The 20,923-nt window shown below is 39.0% G+C and overlaps 1 protein-coding gene and 1 long non-coding RNA gene across 12 annotated transcripts in view; one reads left to right on the forward strand and one right to left on the reverse strand.

The window, feature by feature from the left end:
• TENM1 (teneurin transmembrane protein 1) overlaps positions 1-16,544 on the reverse strand; it is an 828,410-nt gene extending 811,866 nt beyond the window's left edge. For 10 of the 11 annotated variants that reach the window (XM_017029210.3, XM_017029211.3, XM_047441760.1 and 7 more), the window contains exon 1: positions 16,036-16,544. The gene's annotated coding sequence lies outside the window, so the exon portion shown is untranslated. Of the gene's footprint in view, positions 1-16,031 lie in introns of all 11 variants that reach the window. The other variant, XM_017029213.3, reaches the window with a different exon arrangement.
• On the forward strand, positions 16,692-20,352 carry LOC124905211 (uncharacterized). Its single transcript, XR_007068314.1, has 2 exons — positions 16,692-16,931; positions 17,274-20,352. It is a non-coding gene; the product is annotated as an uncharacterized LOC124905211 (long non-coding RNA).

Here is a 20,923-nt window from a genome sequence, read left to right on the forward strand (position 1 = left end):
TGTGTGTGTACGTATTTATATATGTCTGTGTGTATGCACATATCTGATATATTTTATTCACATAGAAAGATGTTCAAAAATATTTATTTAAATAAGCACATTATAAAGTAACCACAATGTGAGTTGAGCTTAGATATAGATGTATGTAAATTATATGATTTTCTTCTTTCTGTGTATCTGTATTTTCTAACTTTCCTATAATAAACATATATTACTCATATATAGAAAGTTATAATATGTTTTTAATTCTTCAAAAATCCATTTTAGAAAAGGCAGTGTGGGCCACACAGGGTGGCTCACACCTGTAATCCGAGCATTTTGGGAGGCCAAGGTGAGAGGATCGTTTGAGTACAGAAGTTCGAGACCAGCCTGGGCAACAGAATGAAAGCCTGTCTCTACAATAAAAATAAAAATATTAGCCAGGCATTGTGCTGTGTGCCTGTAGTCTCTGCTACTTTGGAGGCTGAGGTGGGAGGGTCATTTGAGCCTGGAAGGTTGAGGCTGCAGTGAGGCTGCAGTGAGCTGTGAGGTTGAGGCTGCAGTGAGCTGGAGTGTTATGCACTCCAGGCTGGATGACAGAGCGAGACTTTCTCTAAAAAAATAACAAAGGAAAGAAAAGAAAAGAAAAGAAAAGGCAGTGTGTAAATTAAAGCAGAAGAAAAAAGAAACTTCAAAATTTAACATTCCAATATTTTATGACTGGCACTTAATTAACCTTATGGTCCCAATTTATTAATGAAGTAATCCCCAAACCTATTATTTTTATATTTGAGGAAAAATCTCAGTAGTAAGAGTAAACAATTTAAAATTTTTACCAGTAAATCAAGACAGAAGACAATACTTAAATGCCATATTTAAAATGTAGTTCAGTAACATCATTGTCACCTTACAAATATCTTACAAAGATCACCAAGGTGACCTTATAATGACAACAGGGTATCATATTATTACTAATGATCTCCATATCCAATGCACTATATATAAATCATTCATACTAGGCTGAAGTGGTGCTCTTGATTAGTTGCAATCTAACTGCCTGATGTGCATTTTTCATCACTGTTAATGTTGCTCAAAAAAGACGTAGTTCTGCTCAGATGTTCATGTGGTTCCAGAATAGTGCTAAGTTAGAATCTTTCAAGGGAAGACATTTCAGAAAGTACTTAGATCCAGACTACAAAAAATATTTCTGGCTCTTGTGCTGCATATACCAGAGCAAGTCTGTAGAAATTGGCTTCATATACATCAGGCTGATTCTGCAAGGAGGCTAGCAAAAAATGCTTTAAAAAATAAACTGCCCTATATGTAGCATTTTGCCTTGGTGAGATAAACAGAAGACTGGGGAAAAACAAAGGGCTCTTCTCTGCTCACTTCTCCATTGTTTTCAAGCTGGTTCCTTTAGGAGTGTGTCACCCCATTTATGACTAGAGAAGGCCAGTTAATACATTGATCTATGTCAGATACCACAGGTTACTTGCCATCACTGAACAATTCCCAACATGTACAACTTCCCTCACCCTTTATCTCTCTATTCCACTCAAGAATTCATTTCCAAAAAATAAACTGTTCACTGTCTTAATACTGAATGTGGGCTAACTACCGTTTAAGAAAAAGAAATTAGAATGTTTGACAGGACCATCACTGAACTCAGCCAAATAATGCATACCAGAGGCAAAAACAGCAGAAGCTATTAAACAAAGGTTACAAATACATCTCACAGGACTGACTATTGGTTTTGGAGATAGGCTAGACCCTGCAAGCAGAGCCCTATGTCCAAACCTGGACAGCTCATTAAGAGATCATCTAGCCCAGACCTTAATTAGCACCACTGCCTGTTGTTTCTTCCTACATAGATAATAATATTCTACTTCCTTCAGTTCTCAGCCTCTTATAACAAAACGGTCAGCAGAGATTGGCTATGGAGGTAAAATACATAAATTGGAGGTGAGCAGAAGAAGGGCCTAAAAGCCGGGTTCAAGATGTTGACATCAAATAATATATGTATATATGAATATGCACATAATGTGAATATGCATACATGTGTATGGATAGATATCTTTCTCAAATAGATGTTAAAAGTATGATTTCTGTTAGTTTAGAAAATGGTACAAATTTTTACTTTTTAAAAATAATTACCTGATTATACTGTAATTTTAATACCTATATTAATGCTATTTCTATTTTCAAGGGACTTTGGGCGGCATATAGGTCACACTTTATCTTATTAATGAGTATATCTTTACATCGCTATATATGCTTTGAAACTCCTAATGCAATTTTTTTAATGGGACGTTTACTCAAAGACTTCGCAGAAAATAATCGTGTTAATAAAAGAGACAGTTTTCCCATTACAATGATCAGTGCTCTCAGACAATTAATGCTGCAACACTCTGTATTGTCACTTTCTTCCTCAAGGCCTAGAGAACTTCTCGGTTTACATTATTGGCTGAAGCTTCTTTTCTTTCTGGCAATATAGGCATTTCTAATGATGAGACCTGCCAAAACTTGTCAATGCTATTTTTCTTCTTTTCCATTAGAGGTGACTGTGGCTGAATAGCCAAGTAATCTATAGTCTAACTTCATTTAATTGTTTTTACTACATGACATGAAGAAATATAGTGAGTAATCACTTCTGTTTTACATGAAGCAAATTGCTAGTGCTTTCCACAGCAATATGAACAAGACTTAATTTGTGCAATTTCCCTTGAACATCCTGTTCAAATCCTAGCAGGGTAAGTTCCGCCCTCTTTGGTTCTCTAGTGAGTGAAGACCAGATTGGATCAGTGGATCTCGATTATTTTCCCTTCTGTAGTCCTCTTCAAAATAAAGTCAGAGAATAGTTGGTCTTGGCTAAAACTGGCATATTCCTCTCCCTCCAGCAACATCTCTCAAGAAAAATGGGTTTATTATCTTTGTTTATTTGTTCCCAAACCTCACTTCTCATATGGCAATATTTATTTTTTTGTTTTTTTAATGGTTTTGTTTTGTAAATACACGGTGTCTGATAGTTATATAGTCTAATTACAGAAAATTTGGAAAATACAGATAATAAAGGAAAAAATGACCTATTACCCACCTTTTTCAATCAGAAATAATCATTTTTAGCACTTTTGCATATCTTTTTCAAGTCTTTTTTCTTTCTTACATATTGGATACATATAATTTTACACCTTGGTTTATCATTTGGTAGTATAACATAAACATTTTCCTTTTATCTTAAAATATTTGTAAACATCTTTTTTTAATGGCCATTATGTATTGCCTTGTCTAGATATATCATAAATCACATAGCATTTGCCTTGTTGAACATTTGGGTTCCTTCATATTTTCTATTATCACAAATAATGCTTGGTGAAAATATCTGAAATGAAGTTTTTTCTTTATTTCATATTATTTATTTAGGACAAAGTCCCAGAAGTAGAATTATTGGTATGAACATTATTAAGGCTTTTGCAGCAAACTGCCAAATCTACACCAACTAATATTTCATCATGTCCTTATTAGTCATTCATTTACTCAACCAATATTTATTAATCACCTACTATGTATCAGGCACTGTGCTAGGTGATATGGATATAGTAGTGAGCAAAAAAGAAACAAAATTCATGCCCTCAAGGAACTAATATTCTAGAAAAGTGGATAAGATAAAAATACAGTATGATACCAGTTAATGATGAGTAATATAAAGAAAAATAGAAGCTGATAAAGGCATAGAAAATGAAAGACAATAAAGTTCATTACATAGGATGGTCAGAGTAGGCCACTATGATGAAGGAACATTTGATCAAATATCTGAATGAAGTAAGAAAGTAAACCTGGAGAGGTCTGAATGAAAATTAAATGGGTTAATACATATAAAGTCCTTAGGACAGTGCTTTGCCTAGGAAGCATTCCATATGTGTTAGTTTTTATTATTACTTGTAATGCTAGAATATTCCATTCACCTTTTCTGGTGACATTATTATGGTGGTGTGATCCTGAAAGAGTCAAAAAGGATCTATCATATACTTCTATTATTTGATTGTTTATGTCCCCTCCAATATTCATGTTTAAACTTAATGCCCAATGCAACCGTATTAAGAGGCAGGACCTTTTGGGAAGTGATGAAGACATGAATGGATTGGTAATTTATAAAAGAGGTCCAGGGAATAAGCTAGGTTTTTTTTTTGTTTTTTTTTGTTTTGTTTTTTGGCCCTTTCAACTTCCACCATGTAAGGACACAGGGTACTTCCCTCTGGAGGACACAGCAAGAAGGCAGCATCTTGGAAGCAGAAGGAGTAACTGCCTCCCGCACTGAATGTCAGTGCCTTAATCTTGGACTTCCCAGCCTCCAAAACTGTGAGAAAATAAACTTCTGTTCTTTATTTTAAAACAAAAGTAAAGTCTGCAGAAACCTTGGAGAAAAATCATTTTAGACAGATAAAAAAGCAGGCACAAGGCCCTGAGAAAAAAAAAGAATGCATGGCATGTTTAAAGAACAAATCAAAGGGCAATATGGCTAGAAGGTTATGAGCAATGTTTGAGGGGGGACATAGCAAGACATGAAGTCCAATAAATAGTGACCAAATCATGTAAAGCCTTGTAGGGCATTGTAAAGATTTTTTAAATTTTTCAAGTTTTTTAAAGTGTGGTGAGAAGTCAACCTTTGGAAGCCAGAGAGCAGACAGATCATAAGATCTTGTTTAAGTTTTAAAATGATCATCCTGGTTGCCGTGTGAAAAACTATATGAGAACAAAGATGGATCTAGGGATATCAATTAGAAGGCTGTTTCAGTATTCCAGGTAAGAAATGATGGTGGTTTGTTCTAGAGTGTTAGTAATGAATGAGAAGAAAATTATTCAGATAAAGAATATAGTTTGAAGGTAGAGTCAGCATTTGTTAATTGGTTGGGTGTCAGGTGTTAAAAAAGAGAAATCAAGAATGACTAACATTTGGGACTTGAAAAATTGCACTGAGCATTATTTTAATTTTTAAAATAAACAGGCATTTATTGTTTCTAATTTGTATGTATACATGTACATACAAATTGTGGTAAGAACATTTAACATGAGATCTACCCTCTTAAAATTGTAAGTGTACAATACAGTATTGTTATTTAAGGCACTATGTTGGACAAAAGATCTCTAGAACTTATTTGCCTTGCATAAGAGAAACTTTATATTCACTGAATATCATTTATGTTGATTACTGAAGGTTGAGGTTTTTTTCAGTTATTTTTTTTCCATTTCCCATTTCTATTTCCTCTCTTGTGAATTATTTTTTCATGTCTTTGCCCAAATGGCATTTATAAAATTATTTCCTCCCTTAGCTTCTATTTTCTTGTTATCTTGTATGGCTTGTACCTCTCTGATCTTATTCTAACTTCCTCTCTCTTGAAGGCTCCTCTTATTTCACTAAACTCTTAAATGCAGTGTTTCTCAATATTTCATCTTTGCTTCTCTTTTTACTCTATACAGTCAACTTTCTGTATCCATGAGTTCCACATCTGTAGATGTAATCAAACGTGAATCAAAAATATTTGGAAAATAATTCCACAAAGTTCCCAAAAGCAAAACTTGAATTTGCTGCACAGCAAGTACTTTGTTGAATCCATGTGAATAAAGTGATGTGTAGGTATTGTATTAGATTTTCTTTTTTAGAGATGGGGTCTTGCTATGTTGCCCAGGCTGGACTCAAACTCACGGGACCAAAGGATCCTCCTGCCTCAGCCTCCCAAGTAGTTCGGACAATAGGCATGTACACCCTTGCGTCCGGTGTATTAGGTATTGTTAAGTAATCTAGAGATGACTTAAAGTATATACTTAGGTCATATGCAAATATTATACCATTTTATATCATGAACTTGACTACCTGTGGATTTTGGTATCTATGGTGGGGGGTACTGTAACCTGGTCCCCACAGATATCAAAAGATGACTGTATATACTCTCTAGCTAAGCTCACCTACCTGCCCCTACGATTTCAACTACTATGTTGATTGATGACACCCAGATCTCTAATTCTAGACTTTATCTTCAGATCTGTATTTTTTTAGAACAAGCTCTTGCTCTGTCATTTAGACTGGAGTGCCATGGTGCAATCATGGCTCACTTGCAGTCTCAACATCCCAGGCACAAGCAAGCAATCCTCCCACCTCAGAGTGCTGAGTAGCTGGGACTAAAGAGATGTACCACCACGCCCAGTTAATTTTTTTTTTAAAAAAGAGATGGGGTCTCACTATGTTGCCCAAGCTTGTCTGGAACTCCTGTGCTCAAGTAATCCTCCTTCCTTGGCCTCCTAAGCTGCTAGGATTACAGGCAGGAACCAGTGCGCCCAGCCAGATCTGTAATTTCCATCTGGCACAATCCATCTCCATCTGGATATCTAGCTGGTGTCTCACATCGAATAAGTCCAAACCTGACTGCATTATCCCCACTGAAACCAACTTTTTCTTCTGTGTTCCCTATTCTGCTTCATGGCATTACCTAGTTTCCCAAGACAAAAGCCTCAGAGTCACTCCCTCCTTCTTCCTCACACCCTAAATTAAATCAATTTCCGAGAATCATTGATTCTACCTTATCAGTGCTTCTCAAATTTGTCCACTCCTCTCCATGTTACTGTCACTGCCTTGGTTCATGTCCTCATAATTGGTCACAGTTGCAGTACTGCCTCTTTATTGGTCTCACTGCTACTATACTCCTAATCTACTTCAATCCTTCCTCCATACTGGTGATGTCTTTCTAACACAAGGTTGATTCACCTTGCCCTCACTTTAAAACCCCTTATCTCGTTCAGTTGACACTACTACAACATAGCACACTGCTTAATTTTGGATAAACCTCAGGAAAAACACCATTTTCTAGGATTATCTCCATGCAGCAAAATACCAACCCATTCATTCATTCAACAAATGTGTACTAAGCCTCTTCTGTATGTCAGACACATAAATGGAAATAAGACGTTATCCCTGACCTCTGTTCCCCAGGCTCGGATAGGAAATAAAATGGCACTCTCTTGTCCTAGATTGGTATTCCCCATTGCTAATTTAACCTAGTGTTCTTTCACAGCCCTAAGGTCATGTGGAATGTGATTCTCCATATTCTCTGACTAAAAAACATCCTAGACACTCTTTAAGAATCAATTCAAATAACTGACTATTTATAAAACTATATCAATCTTTGAGTTTCCAGAGCATTCTAATTATTCCTCTACTATAGCATTTGTTATATGACCGGAGTATGCTTATATATCTGTCTCCCAAAGATGATTTTTTAATGTCTCTGTAGCACCAGGTAAACAGAGGCTTTGAAGAAGGTTTGATAAATTAGCAAATGAATGAATGGAAGAATGAGCAAATGAAAATTTTCCTTCATGAAAATTGTTCTGTGATATATAACCAAAAGTATGTAAACTGAAGTTTTCAGTAAAAGGAGAGACCAGTGCATGAGACCTGGAGAGCCTCTGTGGAAAACAGGAGCCTTCAAGACCCATTGTCACAGATCATCAGTGTAAATGTTAATTTTTTTCCCTTTCAATAGTAAAGCAGTTCCAAGTATTTTGCTAAATATCTGGGACCAGTGTTCTCTCACTATGTCTACTGCTGTTTTACACATTTTCTTAAGGATACTTTATTCCATGTTTTACAGAAGTAAATTGTTAAAACTTTCTCTCTTCCATGTTAAATTACCAGTTAAAATACTTCCCTTGCACTGAACTCTAATTGTTTACATTAAAATTACCTCACTTTCACAAGTTGTCCGATGTTTCATCAAAGCAATATCTCAAATAGTGAAAAGAACAAAACAATGAAGAAAATGTAGCATCCTTATGTTGACACTTCATGAATTCTAAACCAAAAATAAATGGTGTCACACCTAAGTGTTGCGATTTTATTAGACTAAACAGGAAAGATATATCACAAATGTACTAGCAGCATATGAATACATGAACAGAGTACATCTATAATAAATACCAACCCAGTAAAGCAGTGTGACATTATAGCCCCTACCCAAGATAACTGAAAGAAGGTACGAACTGAAAAAAATATAAATAATAATATCTCATATTATGTTTATAATTATCTGGAACATATATAAAGAATTGGCCAGAATCAGAAGAAGAATAAAAAGAGTAATCGCTCCCAATATTTTAGTGAGTGTCCTAAAGCCTATTTCCTTTCTCTTAAAACTGTATACCAACCCAAACCTTAAAAGTAGTTTAAAAAGAGAAGAAAAAAAGAAGGAAGGAGGGAAGGAAGAAAAGAAGGAACGAAGGAAGGAAGGAAGGAAGGAAGGAAGGAAGGAAGGAAGGAATTAGAGTGATTTTATTGATAATTTAAAATGTAAGATTATTCTCAAGTCTAAGCAATAAGTATTAATTGGCCAATCAACTGTACTGTTCTTCTCCCTTAGCGGTCACTAGATCTCATTAGTGAAATTAATACTATCTTCCCCAAAAAAGTTTCTTTTTTTTTTGACTTGCTTCACAATTCTGAAATGCTTTCTTACATTGCTTAAAGCTTTAAGCGTATGAGTCACAGTCACAAAAACATATTCATTTGAAGTATAAAGTAAGCAAATAAGTGATGTATTCATGTGTCTGTAAATGATGCTTATGAAATCCTTGTCCACAATGTATGTATGTTTTCATAAATATTCATTTAAAAAGTGTCAGCCCCACACACATAAACACAAACACATTTTTGGGCTACTTAATAGAACAGATCACACATCAGTATCACTCAAATGCTTACAATTAAGCAGAGCAGCTTAAAAAAAGAAAATCATTAATGTTAAAGGCAGGAGGGGGATAAGGCACAGAGTTTAAATTCAAAATGTTGACCACAAACTTTTTGTTGATAGGAATTGAGTAAGCTAAAAACAGTACCAAAATTTTAGGTTGAGAAGGCTTCCAGCCACTGTGTAGTTATAGTGTATTTATACACCTCTATATTTAAACACAGGTGGTAATTAGCAAGATTGAAACACCTTTAATAAGGTATCATCATAGGTGCAAAGGATGTGTAGCATAAGATTAGTTCATTATCAATAACTTTCCTGAATTAATCATCTCTTAGGACATTTAATTTTAAATGTACCTGAAAAAAACCTGGATTATTGAGATAAGCCATCTGCAGTATCTCTTTCTAATTTCTCTGAACAACTGAAGAGTTTTCTTAAAATGTCTGTATGCAGCTGGGGCATAGGGATTGCAATATCTAATAAACCAATTGTCCATCTAATCTGGCACCTTCTCTTTGACAGGTGTCTAAACCAGATAGAGACATTAGAGGTAATATACACACTTAGAATCCACCAATTATGCAAAACCATGCAACTGGGAAATTTTCTCTTTGACCTTAGCCAGTGATCAGATTTTCCCAGAAGTATGCAAACTGATAGCCACGTACTTTTATTTTGGCTGTTTAAAAACCATCATTCATACAGGCAACTAAAAACACTAAGTCGATTCCAAACCTTAAAACATTAAAATGAAAGTGGATTTCCTTTAATATAAATGCATAGAAATTCTATTGAAAGTTACATATATATGTATAATATGCATCAGCATCCTGAATACTTACAACACCTTTCAACTAAATAGAAAAACAATTGAAAAATAAATATATGGTGATTTCAAAAGGGAAACCGAGGCTATAGAACCATAAAAACTGAGGATTTGAGTAAACAGTGGAAGCTGGAACCATCCAGATGAATGAATGACTTTTTCCATTGTTCATCCAAATGCAAGCATCTGCTGAAAGGTTAGAGGAAATCGACATGACAAAGAAGATACCAATATTATGAATTCTACAAGTTCCGTGATAATTGTCCCAATTTTTTTAAGTTTTAGTCAGATTTTAGTATCACACAGATATAGTCCAAGTAACAAAAAATACACCAAAGAATAAAATACACGTAATTCAACACTCAACAACTGGATACTGATATTCTCAGTATTCCCTAAACTGTAAAAATGTGGATATTAATTTTCCTAAACTTTTGAATAACTGCTTCATTCTATCATTAATAGTTCTACCTTGAACATATATATTTTGAAATTTTATTAACTTTAAAACAGAAAAATACCTTCTGACCTTTACATATATTTATCTTTCCATTCTTTGTTTCATTATCAAAGATCTTCTCTCAGTCGTAATACAGAAATTTGCTTACAGCTACAAATTGACAGAAAAGTAATATTAGTTTCTCAGGACTTTAGCCGGTATTGCAAAAGACTTGACATGGATTGCAATTCAGCTCATCATAGAGATTGTGATTCCAAAATTTAATTTCATAACTCATAATCAGCCACAAAAACATTACAACAGAATATGAGAAACATTAAAAGGCAATTTCCTCATTGTTGACTACTTATTAATTTACAACTTAGTCGAATAAAATTAAAACAACCAGTATGCTTTCTGGTGACTGGTAAAATGACTGTTTTACAAATTTCAAATAAATGTATTCAAATGCATTTGGTCTCTGTAATAAAAGTGGGACATAGATATTGTAATAAGACTTTTTTTATTTGAAAAGGAAAAATAACCAATTCTACTGGAAAATTCAAGCATCATTTATATTATGTTTTCCTATCATCACTAACTAGGCTTCTTCAAAGTCTACAAAATCATAATTTGAAAGAACATATTTTTTCAATGTAATAGCTATTATGAAACTATTTTACAGCTGTGAATGTTCTATTAGAACAAAAAATGCTCCATAGAATACATACATACCAATAGGAATGCACAAATCAAACTTCTCTTTCTGTGATTATTTTTTAAAAATTGCTTGAGTAGGGACAAAGAGGGTTGTAGGAAGATTTTCAGGAAAATGACAGAGATGGCACTGATTTTTCGTTCAGCTTAATCATTTATTTCTAGCAAATTCAATTCCCCAGCCTTTTACAGCAGTTACTTTCAGGGACCAACAGGCTGGCATGAAATTAAATTAACAAGCAGATTCCCATTCTGAATTAGTGACTCCCAGCTGTCTGTCCCATCTAGTTTCCATGGCAGTAGCACAATCAGTGGAAAATGAGGTACAGGAAATTTTAAGAAGCCACTGTATCAAGCCCCTTAAGTCAATTTCTTTAAGCTGATGAATCAGTACAGTGGGCAGGGGTGGGGGCAGGGAAGGGGGAGTAGGGTGTAGAATTGAATTTAAAGTTTTTAATTTCCTGCCTTGCTGAAAAGGTCAGTGTGTTTCTGTTTCTGTAATTGTTGTAGAATGCAAGCAACATCTCCTTATACATTTTATAGAAGGCTGTAGATTCACGATGGCATTTAGTTCATTGGGCATTTTATAGTAACCCAAGAGTGTTTAAGATATTTTACATGTATTTTAAAGTGTTTTATTTTATTTTTTCTTTCTCTTTTGACATGGATATTAAGGGTCATCGGCCTGTTAAGTGACTCCAAAACACCCAGAAACTAGGTAAACAATTTTCTCAAACAACCAGATGTTTTTCACCCCAAACAGTTGGATGGTTAACAGAATGGTGCAGTCACATATTTGGGTGTCACCTAGATTCAGTCATAGAAATTTGTCATAAGCACCCAGAGAAAAAGTATTAACCTTGGCACATATCTACCATAAACAGAAATATAAAGGCTCCCAGGTAAGAACTTCATAGGGGATTATCCACCCATGTGAAAAGAGATTTTTAACATGTTTTTATGTGTCCATTTTCCAATTAGCTTCTCCACTCTTACAGTTAGAATAGAGCGGGGGTGGAGAATCCAATATTTCAGAATCATTACATCACATTAAAAACATCATCCAAGAGGTAGTGGTTAGTTGGCATATATGCATGTTTCACCATATGCTATTGTTTACCTAAAGTGGAGGCTCGGACAGGAAGTACAATTTAGAATAATTTTTTAAGTTGTAAATTATCCAAGATTATACTTCCAGGCCTTGAAATGGGTCCTGAAGTTACATAAAAATCTAATAGACTTCATTTATTAGACTCTAAGTTACTATTTTAAAATATTAGGGATCCATGTCACCTGTAAAAATATTTACTTTTCAAATTTAAATTAGCTTAATTTCTATACAGAAATGTTAGCATTGCAATTGATATAAATATTGTTATATAATAATTTTCAGTCTATGCCATCATATTCCAATTTCCTCAGCCCTATTTTTCATGGGTTCCAAATGTAAGCAATTTTGCTGGTCTTGCTAAATTGTACCACAGCACGTCTAGCAAACTACAAAATCTCTATACATTATATAAATTGCCATAACAGAGCACCGAATACTGAACAGACACCTATGGTTGGTCATCAAGGTTGTTAAGAATAATTAAAAGCTGTGTGAAGCCTTTTATAGCATTCACCTGCTCAAACTAAGCATGGTTCTAGCTGGTTATATTTGATATTTACTTTCCTCTGTTCTAAAAAAAATCAATGGAAAACAGAAAGGAATAAAAATAATATATTAAGCCAGGATTCAGAATATTTTTACCTTTTAGGGGAAGGAAAAATAATAGCAATCTCCATTCAAAGTAGTGATTTAATCTAACACTCAGAAGCTGTAGAAGATTTAAAGAAATTGTGGTATATGTGAGCATTTCTGAAATTTGATTCCTTTTAATTTTTATAATCAGCAGTTACACTTCCAGTCGTGGGTATATGCTGTTGGTCACAATTGCTAAATTCTGTACCTTACAATATTTTTCATCTGCCTGTAGTCATACTAGGAATCCAGTTTAAACCTTTCTTCTAAATGTTAAGTGATGGGAAGCTTTTTAAGTACGCATGGATTATTAATTTTGTGGTTAAAATCCACAGCAATTTAACAAATATATATAATTTTAATAAAGCTATTGTACATGTTTTATATCTGATTCAAGGCATTCACAAGCAATTGCTTCCGTGTGTGTGTGTGTGTGTGTGTGTGAGAGAGAGAGAGAGAGAGAGAGAACAAATATGAGTACTATAAGAAAATTTGTTTTCATCAAAAAAATTAATCACTGACTCAGTTATTCAAAGTACTGGTCTTCTTTTGACCTCTGGTCATTTATAAGTAAGTAAATAAATAAATGCATAAATAATAATAATTAACTTGTTTTGGGAAACTTTAGGGAATTTATTAACCATAATCTATACCAACTACTTGATAGCTTTACTTAAATCTGAAACTGAATGACTTAGGAAAAGCAAGCTTCAAGCAAAAATTATATGGACTCCAAATGTCTATCTCTAACATAGAATATGAAAAATGTTTGTTTTATTAATTAACACTAAAATTTCTTACTACTTCCAAGTTTTTAAGGCTGTCACAGAAAATAAATTTCCACTAAGTTTTCTGTTTTCAGAAACAACATATCAGGAATGTTTTGCAGTTTGACAATTTAAAGTAATATTGTATAGAATAAACTTGAATGCTAGACTGTTCTGCTTCAGCAAGAATCTTTCTGGTAAAGGTATCAGAAAGGATCAATGACTATGAGGGAAACTATGATTATGTCGGTGTTATTTACACATATAATAGCTGAATTGAAACACTGAGAATTCTAGGGTATTCAGACTGAATTAGGCCTTTGAATGTGATGATAGTTATGTATAATACAATTTTATTTTAATACACCTAAACGTTTGAATATTTGAAATCTTAATCACCTTTACAGCACAATGATTCTACAAAGCATTCTTTCCTTTAGCCTCACTGTATATTTTGTCAAATGACATGACTGTCCCTAATTCATAATTGGAACCTAAACCTAATGGAAAATACTACTTCATGTATGCAAAAATATTTGTGGGGTTTTTTTCTGCTATGTATAGCTGACATTGTTCTCAGGACTGGACTCTACTAGTTTTATTATGAAAATGTTAACATTTCTTCATAGAGTTGTTTTATAGAAACACCTGTTTTTCAGAAACATTCTGGGGAACAACCTGAAAACTTTTAAATAATATTTAGAGCATGGATTTATTTTAGGAATTACCTGATCCCTTTTTAAATGCATATTTCGACTTTCTTTAATCATGAAAAGTTTTCAACATTATTTTGTCATACCTGAAAGCTTTTAATTACTCTTAAAAACCCCAACTTTGCCATAGTAAATTATTTAATGCATCACAAAATAGTGTTATGAACTTGAACTAAAATGGCAAAATTGGGATTCTGTTTCTCCAGTTATGTACTTTGAGGGTCTTACTATGCCTTATGAAAATTCATTTTTCCCCACGTTGCAGATATGAAGAGCAAGGAGCGGGGGTGAGCAAGCAAGCAGATGCTGGGTAATCATGGAGCAGAAGTTAAAGGTGTGGATCGCCTTTTCATTAATTTTGTTTTTTAAGCCTTTCCCTCTTAGACTCTTCCCTTTCTTGGTAACACTGGAGTATCTACTGCTCCAGATCAGAAGACTTCGGACTAGGAAGATGAACTGGGCTATTTCAGCCAAAAAATATAATAGAGCAGACATTTGCCATGTTCTCCTCAAACACGTTAAGAGTAGCAATTGATTCTCACAGTACATTGTTACCTGGCTTGTTAATTATAATCATAGAACAAGAGTCTAAAATTCAAGGAAGCTGTCTGCGACACTTACTCGTCACAAACGCGATCAATTAAACGCTAATCTAACAGTACCTATTAGAGTGCACTGGGATGTTTCGTTTCCTTTTGGTCTTTAAAACCAAATGGCTACTAATTTCCTTTCTGTAGCACTGAGAACTTCTCTTTGTATTTCTTTGGGCCACCTCAAAAACACCTCCAGGTTGGTATCCCAGGAAAACAACGGTTAAGTTCAGGACGTTTACTGACCAATTGCTTCATATTGGAGATGTAGAGCTTTTCTACCCCTATTAGCATATCGCCAGTAGCAGTGATGCAGATCTGCTCAACCCGAAGCTGCCGACGGCGAGTACGAGCTGCAAACCAGCCCCCGCCCCCGCCCCTACTCTCCCAGTGGCGACACAGACGTGGAAACATCTACTAGTGGAGTGAGATCCTCTGTCTCCGCAATTGTAAACAACTGACTGCATCGGGTTCACTGAAATGTTTAAATACACTCCTGACTGCAAACACATCCACTCACCAAGTAGCGCTAACAATCTCCCCTTCTCCGCCTCTAGGCAAAGCATCCTGAAACTAAATTGGCAATCCTCCTGTTATGGAGTGGAAGAAAGTGAGGTTACATTTCCCCAAGCCTGCCTAGCGGGTGCTTGGCGCTCGCAGATATGCTGGCCGTTGCTGAATCTCGGGGACCAAGTCTCTGGATGAAATGCGGAAACACACAAACCCGCACATTGGAGCGCATGGTTAAAGTCAACACCGACGGCTCCTGGAGCACCGCCTGGGTTGTAATGACTATCTCTTTTGACAAAGATTGACAAAGGTATAGGGAGGACGCATCGGGTGGGGCCCTCGACGGCGGCGTAGGTTAGGAGGTCCTGCAGTTCCCCCGGGAACCCGGGCTCCCTGAGTGAGGCTCAAATAGAAATTCAGAAGCAAACAGGTACTAAAGTGCGTCCTAGCCCTTGGGCATATTCTCTGCGGAGACAGCAGGACCTGGACCCCAGTGGCAGAGCCCCAGGCGAACGCTCCAGGGTGGGAGGGATGCCAGAGAAGCGCCCCTTTCTTTCTTTTTAGACCGAGCCTCCCATCCTCACCCCAAGCACCCAGGTCCACTTGTTAGAGTGACTGGGCTCTGCGCGAGAGCCGAGGCGAGGAGGCTCCCTCTCAGAACTGAAGGAGTTGGTTGGTAAAAGTGCCGCCTGGGAAGCCCAGCGAGCCCTCGAAGGGCAGCGTCCCCAGGGCCCGCTGGAAGCTTGAACTGCGAACAAGGCCGACCTCCCTTCTGCCCCAGATGGTCCAGAGCCCCATGGCCGGCGGAGACCGGGAGAAGAAGGATGCGGAGGCTCTGCCACCTCGGGCAGGAGTCCCAGAGCGGACTCAACCGGCCGCTAACAGCCAGGAGCCGCCATCCGCCGCCTGCAGCCTCGGGGCGAAGTTCGCCTGTAGTCCTTGGGGTAGAAGGTTGGGGGTGGCGGGCGGGAGCGAGAAGGAATGGGGTGGGAGCCAGGAGAAACGCACCTACCTATTCCAAGCGCAAGTTTCGGCGGCGTCCCCAGGTGCTGTTCCCCCGCCCCCTCGCCAGGTGCTCGGCTCCGCCGGGCGCTGCCAGTGCCCGGGACTTAGGGCGTCTCGGCCGACTCCTGCGGGAAACGACTGTAAATCCACATTACTGTTCGAGCTGCCGCTCGGGCCCCCGCATTGCTCTCCTCCGGCTGCTGGCAGCGGTGCTCTAAACCGGCGGCCGCCGGAGGCAGGAACCGAACCTAGCTACTATTGCACCAGCGGACGACCGCTGCCAGAAGGGTGCTTGCGCCCAGGGTCCTATGTGTGTGCGAGAGAGTGTGAATACGTGTGTGTGTGTGAGTGAAAGAGAGTGTTCGTGTGTGAGAGAGCAGAAGGGGTGAGCTCAGCCCCCGGGGCACTCGGAGGTGAACTCCGGGCTGAGCCGAAGCTCGCCGCGCTCCCGGGTGCTGGGCGTCTGCTCGGCTGATGGCTGGGCTGATGTTGCCGTGGCCGCCGCCGCCGCGCTCTAAGGCTGGTCGCGGTGGTGCAAAAAATGTTTCTCCGCTACTCGAGACCAAAAAACCTGCCCTGTCTACTGAGCATGCCCGGTTTGACAGCTTCACAGCCGAGGTTTTTTTTTTTTTCTCCTTTTCCCCAAGACTCCAGGTTTTAGCCGCAGCTGAGATGGGAGGTGGAGGGAGGTGGGGGGAGGAGGAGAGGGAGAGGAGGAGGAGGAGAAAGAGGAGAAGGGCTTAAGGAGCAAGTATCGGGCAGAGGAAGGGAAGTCGCAATGAGAAAGATCAGGGTGTTATAGGGTGGAGAGGGGAAGGAGAAAGCTGGATATGGAAGCAGAGGAAGGAAATATGGATCAACAAAATTTAGATTTCCTACTACAGTGGATAGATGCCTGGCCAGGTGACTCACTCGATGTTTTTTTTTTTTTTTTTTTTTTAATTACTTTCTCCTGAGGGTGAGGGGTGGGGTGGGGGGTTCGGATGAGTATTTGTCAACCCCAGGATCAGCCTGGGACAGTGTTACCTAGTCATGACATACACAAACATCGCGTGCACACACACGCGCGCGCACACGAGCGCACACACAGGAGCACAATCACTGCTTCTATGTTCAAAGCCTCAGGACTGACTTAGAATGCGAAGTCTTTTGCCAGTATAACTTTGGCAAAAAAAAAAAAAAAAGGGCGGGGGGAGAGAAATTGTTTGGTTTCCTTTTCTTATTCTCCTCTCCCCCGCCTTCCAGAAAAGCCAAAAGCCCGTGAATGCGGTGCATAAGCGACCCACAAGCTCTCGTGCGTCTGTCGGTGAGAGTGCACCGCCGACTGCGTCCTGCTGACAGTGTGACCCCAGAGCGCCAAGGCCGGCCGGCCACATGCAGCCTACTGGCGGCGCATCAGATCAGCAGTAACGACGTCCACCTGAAGGTGGTTGGGGGAAGAGGGGAGCGCTAAGGGATCCTGCCCTGCCTGGCCGCCCAGGTTCCTGGGCTCCCTAAACGGCTCCGCCCCTCACCCAGCCTGGCACCAGGGCACGTACTCGGGCGAACCCAGCGCGCTGCCCCAAGCCCTGGATCCCTCCCTCCCTCCCAACCCTCCTCAGCTTCCTCGAAAAAGCGGAGAAGCGGAATCTGCACGCCCAGAAACTCGCGTCAGAAGCCTTAGTAGTCCGACTGGGCATGCTCGGGACTTGGGGCGCTTCGCATGGAGGCACTCTCCAGCGGCTAACATCTGTCCGACTGGGCCAGATGTGAGTCTGAAGTAGGAGGCTTGGATGCACGCTAGAGCAGGCTCTGGTTCCGGGAGGGGTGGCGGCGACGCCCACAGCAGTCTTCTTTCCGGCTTCCCACAGAGAGCAAGACCGTGGGAGATACCAAGTGCCGAGCCAGGGGAGCTGCACAAACTGGAGAAATAGGAGTCTAGCGGATTCCCAGGCCTCCTGCCCCGCGGTGCCACCCCAGCCGTAGGCAGGTAGGGGGCGCGCAGAGCAGCTAGGGAGCACCGCGTGTGCTCCCAAGGGACTGCTGACCTCTAGGTAAAGAAAAGAGAGCGTGAAGAGTCGAACATTCTTTGGGCGAAGGACGTTTACTGATTTTTTTTTTTTTAAGTAAAGAAAGAAGGGCGTGTGTGAATGCGTATATGTGCACGCACGTTTTAAATTTTCCTCCGCAAGAACAGGGACAGGAGAGCGAGAAGCTATTGCCGAGTTGGGAACCCGCTAGAGGTTACAATAAGGCAGGCTTGGAGTCGTGGCTGGTGCTAGTTACCGGGAAGAGTTCCTCTTGGCGCGGTGGGCGAACACCAAAGCTTCCAACTGTTCCCTTCCCTGGGTGGCGGCAGCTGCCCAAGGTCGGCTTCCGGGCTGGTCTCTGTGCTCCTGAGCAGGGGGACCAGATTCAGTTTCAGAAAGAGAGGTAGTACAGAGTGACGCCAGGGGGAGTTCTCTGAACCGTGTGTTCCCATTTTCCCAGCTTTTGATATAGGTATTTGCAAAGAGGGAGCATTGTAAGACCATCACACCACCAAGGGGAGGAAATACAAAGAGCTGAACACTCTAGGGGGAAGAATCAGGGAATCAAGAGCACGTTTATTCCCATCGTCCCTTCCCAACAAGGTCTTCAGCTTCAGGCAGGAATCATTTGGATCCCTGCGGCTCAACACCCTCCCACTCCCGTCCCGCCCCACCGCCCTGCCAACAAAGAAACAAAAGATGACAACCAGGCTCTGTAGGGGCATAGCAACTGCTTCTATCACCGGCTCTCTGTTGGGCTGTTGAGAAAGCAGTAGTGAAAGGATGGGTATAAAACCTGTGTCTTGCCACAAATATGTAAACGAAACCTTCCTAAAACCCACTACCCTCCTACAAAACAAAAACAAGTTATTTGTATAAACATATATAGATTTAAGTATCCTAAATAAAGATTCCACATTATGAACTGCCCAAACCCTGAACTGTGGAAGGAAGACTTTCAGGATACCTCCTCAATCCTTACCAAAGAGTTCTGGAAGGAGAAAAAAAAGAAACATCTGGCCAGTCACTTCTCCAATGACTGGAAATACTCTGGGTGTTTCCGTAACCAGCGATTAAGAAAAGAACTCCCCATAACAAAAAGGGAATTCTGGCCAAATGGGACATGGACAAACCCTAATGACCAAGGAAATGGAATATGAATTTAAAAGCATGATTATCTCACTCTCATTCTTGCTGTTCCTTTGTTACTCTTCTTGAAGATACTGGCAGAAAGGGAGAGTTGATACTTAGGGATTTCATGAAAGGAGGCCGAGTTTGTTTCTCTCCTGGCAATTCAGCAGTCCCTGTAATCATTTTTTTTTAGAAATTCTCTACCACCTCCTCTTTATGCTGTATTTTCTCTAGCATTCTTCCCTCTCATTTCCTTACTGGTCTCCTGTGGCTCCCTGGTGTCCTTAATTCATTTGGTCTGCACCTGTCTCCCTTTAGTTCCTTCAAAACATTGTTTCCAGTCCTAATTCCGAAGTACAGAGGGCTCTGTCACTTTTCTCTGTTTCCTAAGAACTGATTTGCTGCTTCTAGACGCCTATATCCTGATATTGTAGGTGGATTTCCTAAGGCATTTATTCAACTTTAGAGATTCCCCAGACACATTTAAGCAACATGAAATTGCAGAATTTTCAAGTAGTTTTGCTCATGGGACCAAGAATTTCTATTTCAAATATGAATATCAGGAAGAAGACACACTAAATTGCTAGTTTCAGAATAGCCAATGTAAATATAACAGATTGTAATGGAGCATGCAATCTCTATATGACAGTTGTCCAGTTGCCAAGTGTATATTATTAAAATAATTTGCTAGGAATTTTAAGATATATACCTTTTTGTTAACAAAGACACACACACACACATGCACTCATACACCTTTTTATGTTTATTCCCAAAACTAATGTAATTACATAAATTCAATTCAGCAAGTGATTATGGAACATCTACTATATTCCAGGAACTGTGCCAGCATTGGGAATAGGCAAAGAAATTGAGACTTAAAGAAGCTAAGAAATGTTCAAAGATGTGTGAACAATTTGCTAATCAACAAGTATATACTGTGTGACTGTTACCGTGTATCTAGACTATTTCACTCCTAGAGAACAATATTTAGATGTTCTGGCCTTGATTTTTTAAATATATTTTTAATCTATAGGTTGCATTCTGTGAGAAGAATGCATAATGGAAAATATGACATGTCAGTTTTGTTTCTAAGTACCCTCATAATAAGAATGTAAGTACAATAATATTTGTATTAGTCTATTCTCACGCTGCCAATAAAGACATACCTGAGATTAAGTAACTTATACAGGAAAGAAGTTTCATTGTACTCACAGTTCAGCATGGCTGGGGAGGTCTCAGGAAACTTACAATCATGGTGGAAGGGGAAACAAACATGTCCTTCTTCACATGGTGGCAGCAAGGAGAAGTGCAGAGCAAAAGGTGGAAAAGCCCCCCATTATAAATCCATCAGATCTCATGAGAACTCACTCACTATCACAAGAATAGCATGGAGGCAACCACCCCTATATTCAGTTACCACCCACAGGATCTCTCCCATGAAACACAGAGATTATGGGGACTACTATTCAACATGAGATTTGGTGGGAACACAACCAAACCATATCAATATTAGAAGACTAAAGTCAATATCAATTACATAAACAAAATCAATGTGCACCATCTGAAATGAAGGAGTTTTGTTTGGTTGCTTGTCTAATGGCAAGATGTTTTCAAAGGCATAATTTCAACATGTACTCGTTGTGGTAGACTATTATTTCCTATTTCAACTGATAACAACACCATCCAGAGATCAACTAGCAGAGATTATGAGTAGTGCTGGCACCTTAACTTTTGGCTACAATGATTGGAAGCAGG

Source organism: Homo sapiens, chromosome X, assembly GCF_000001405.40.
Source record: "Homo sapiens chromosome X, GRCh38.p14 Primary Assembly".
Classification (NCBI taxonomy): domain Eukaryota; kingdom Metazoa; phylum Chordata; class Mammalia; order Primates; family Hominidae; genus Homo; species Homo sapiens.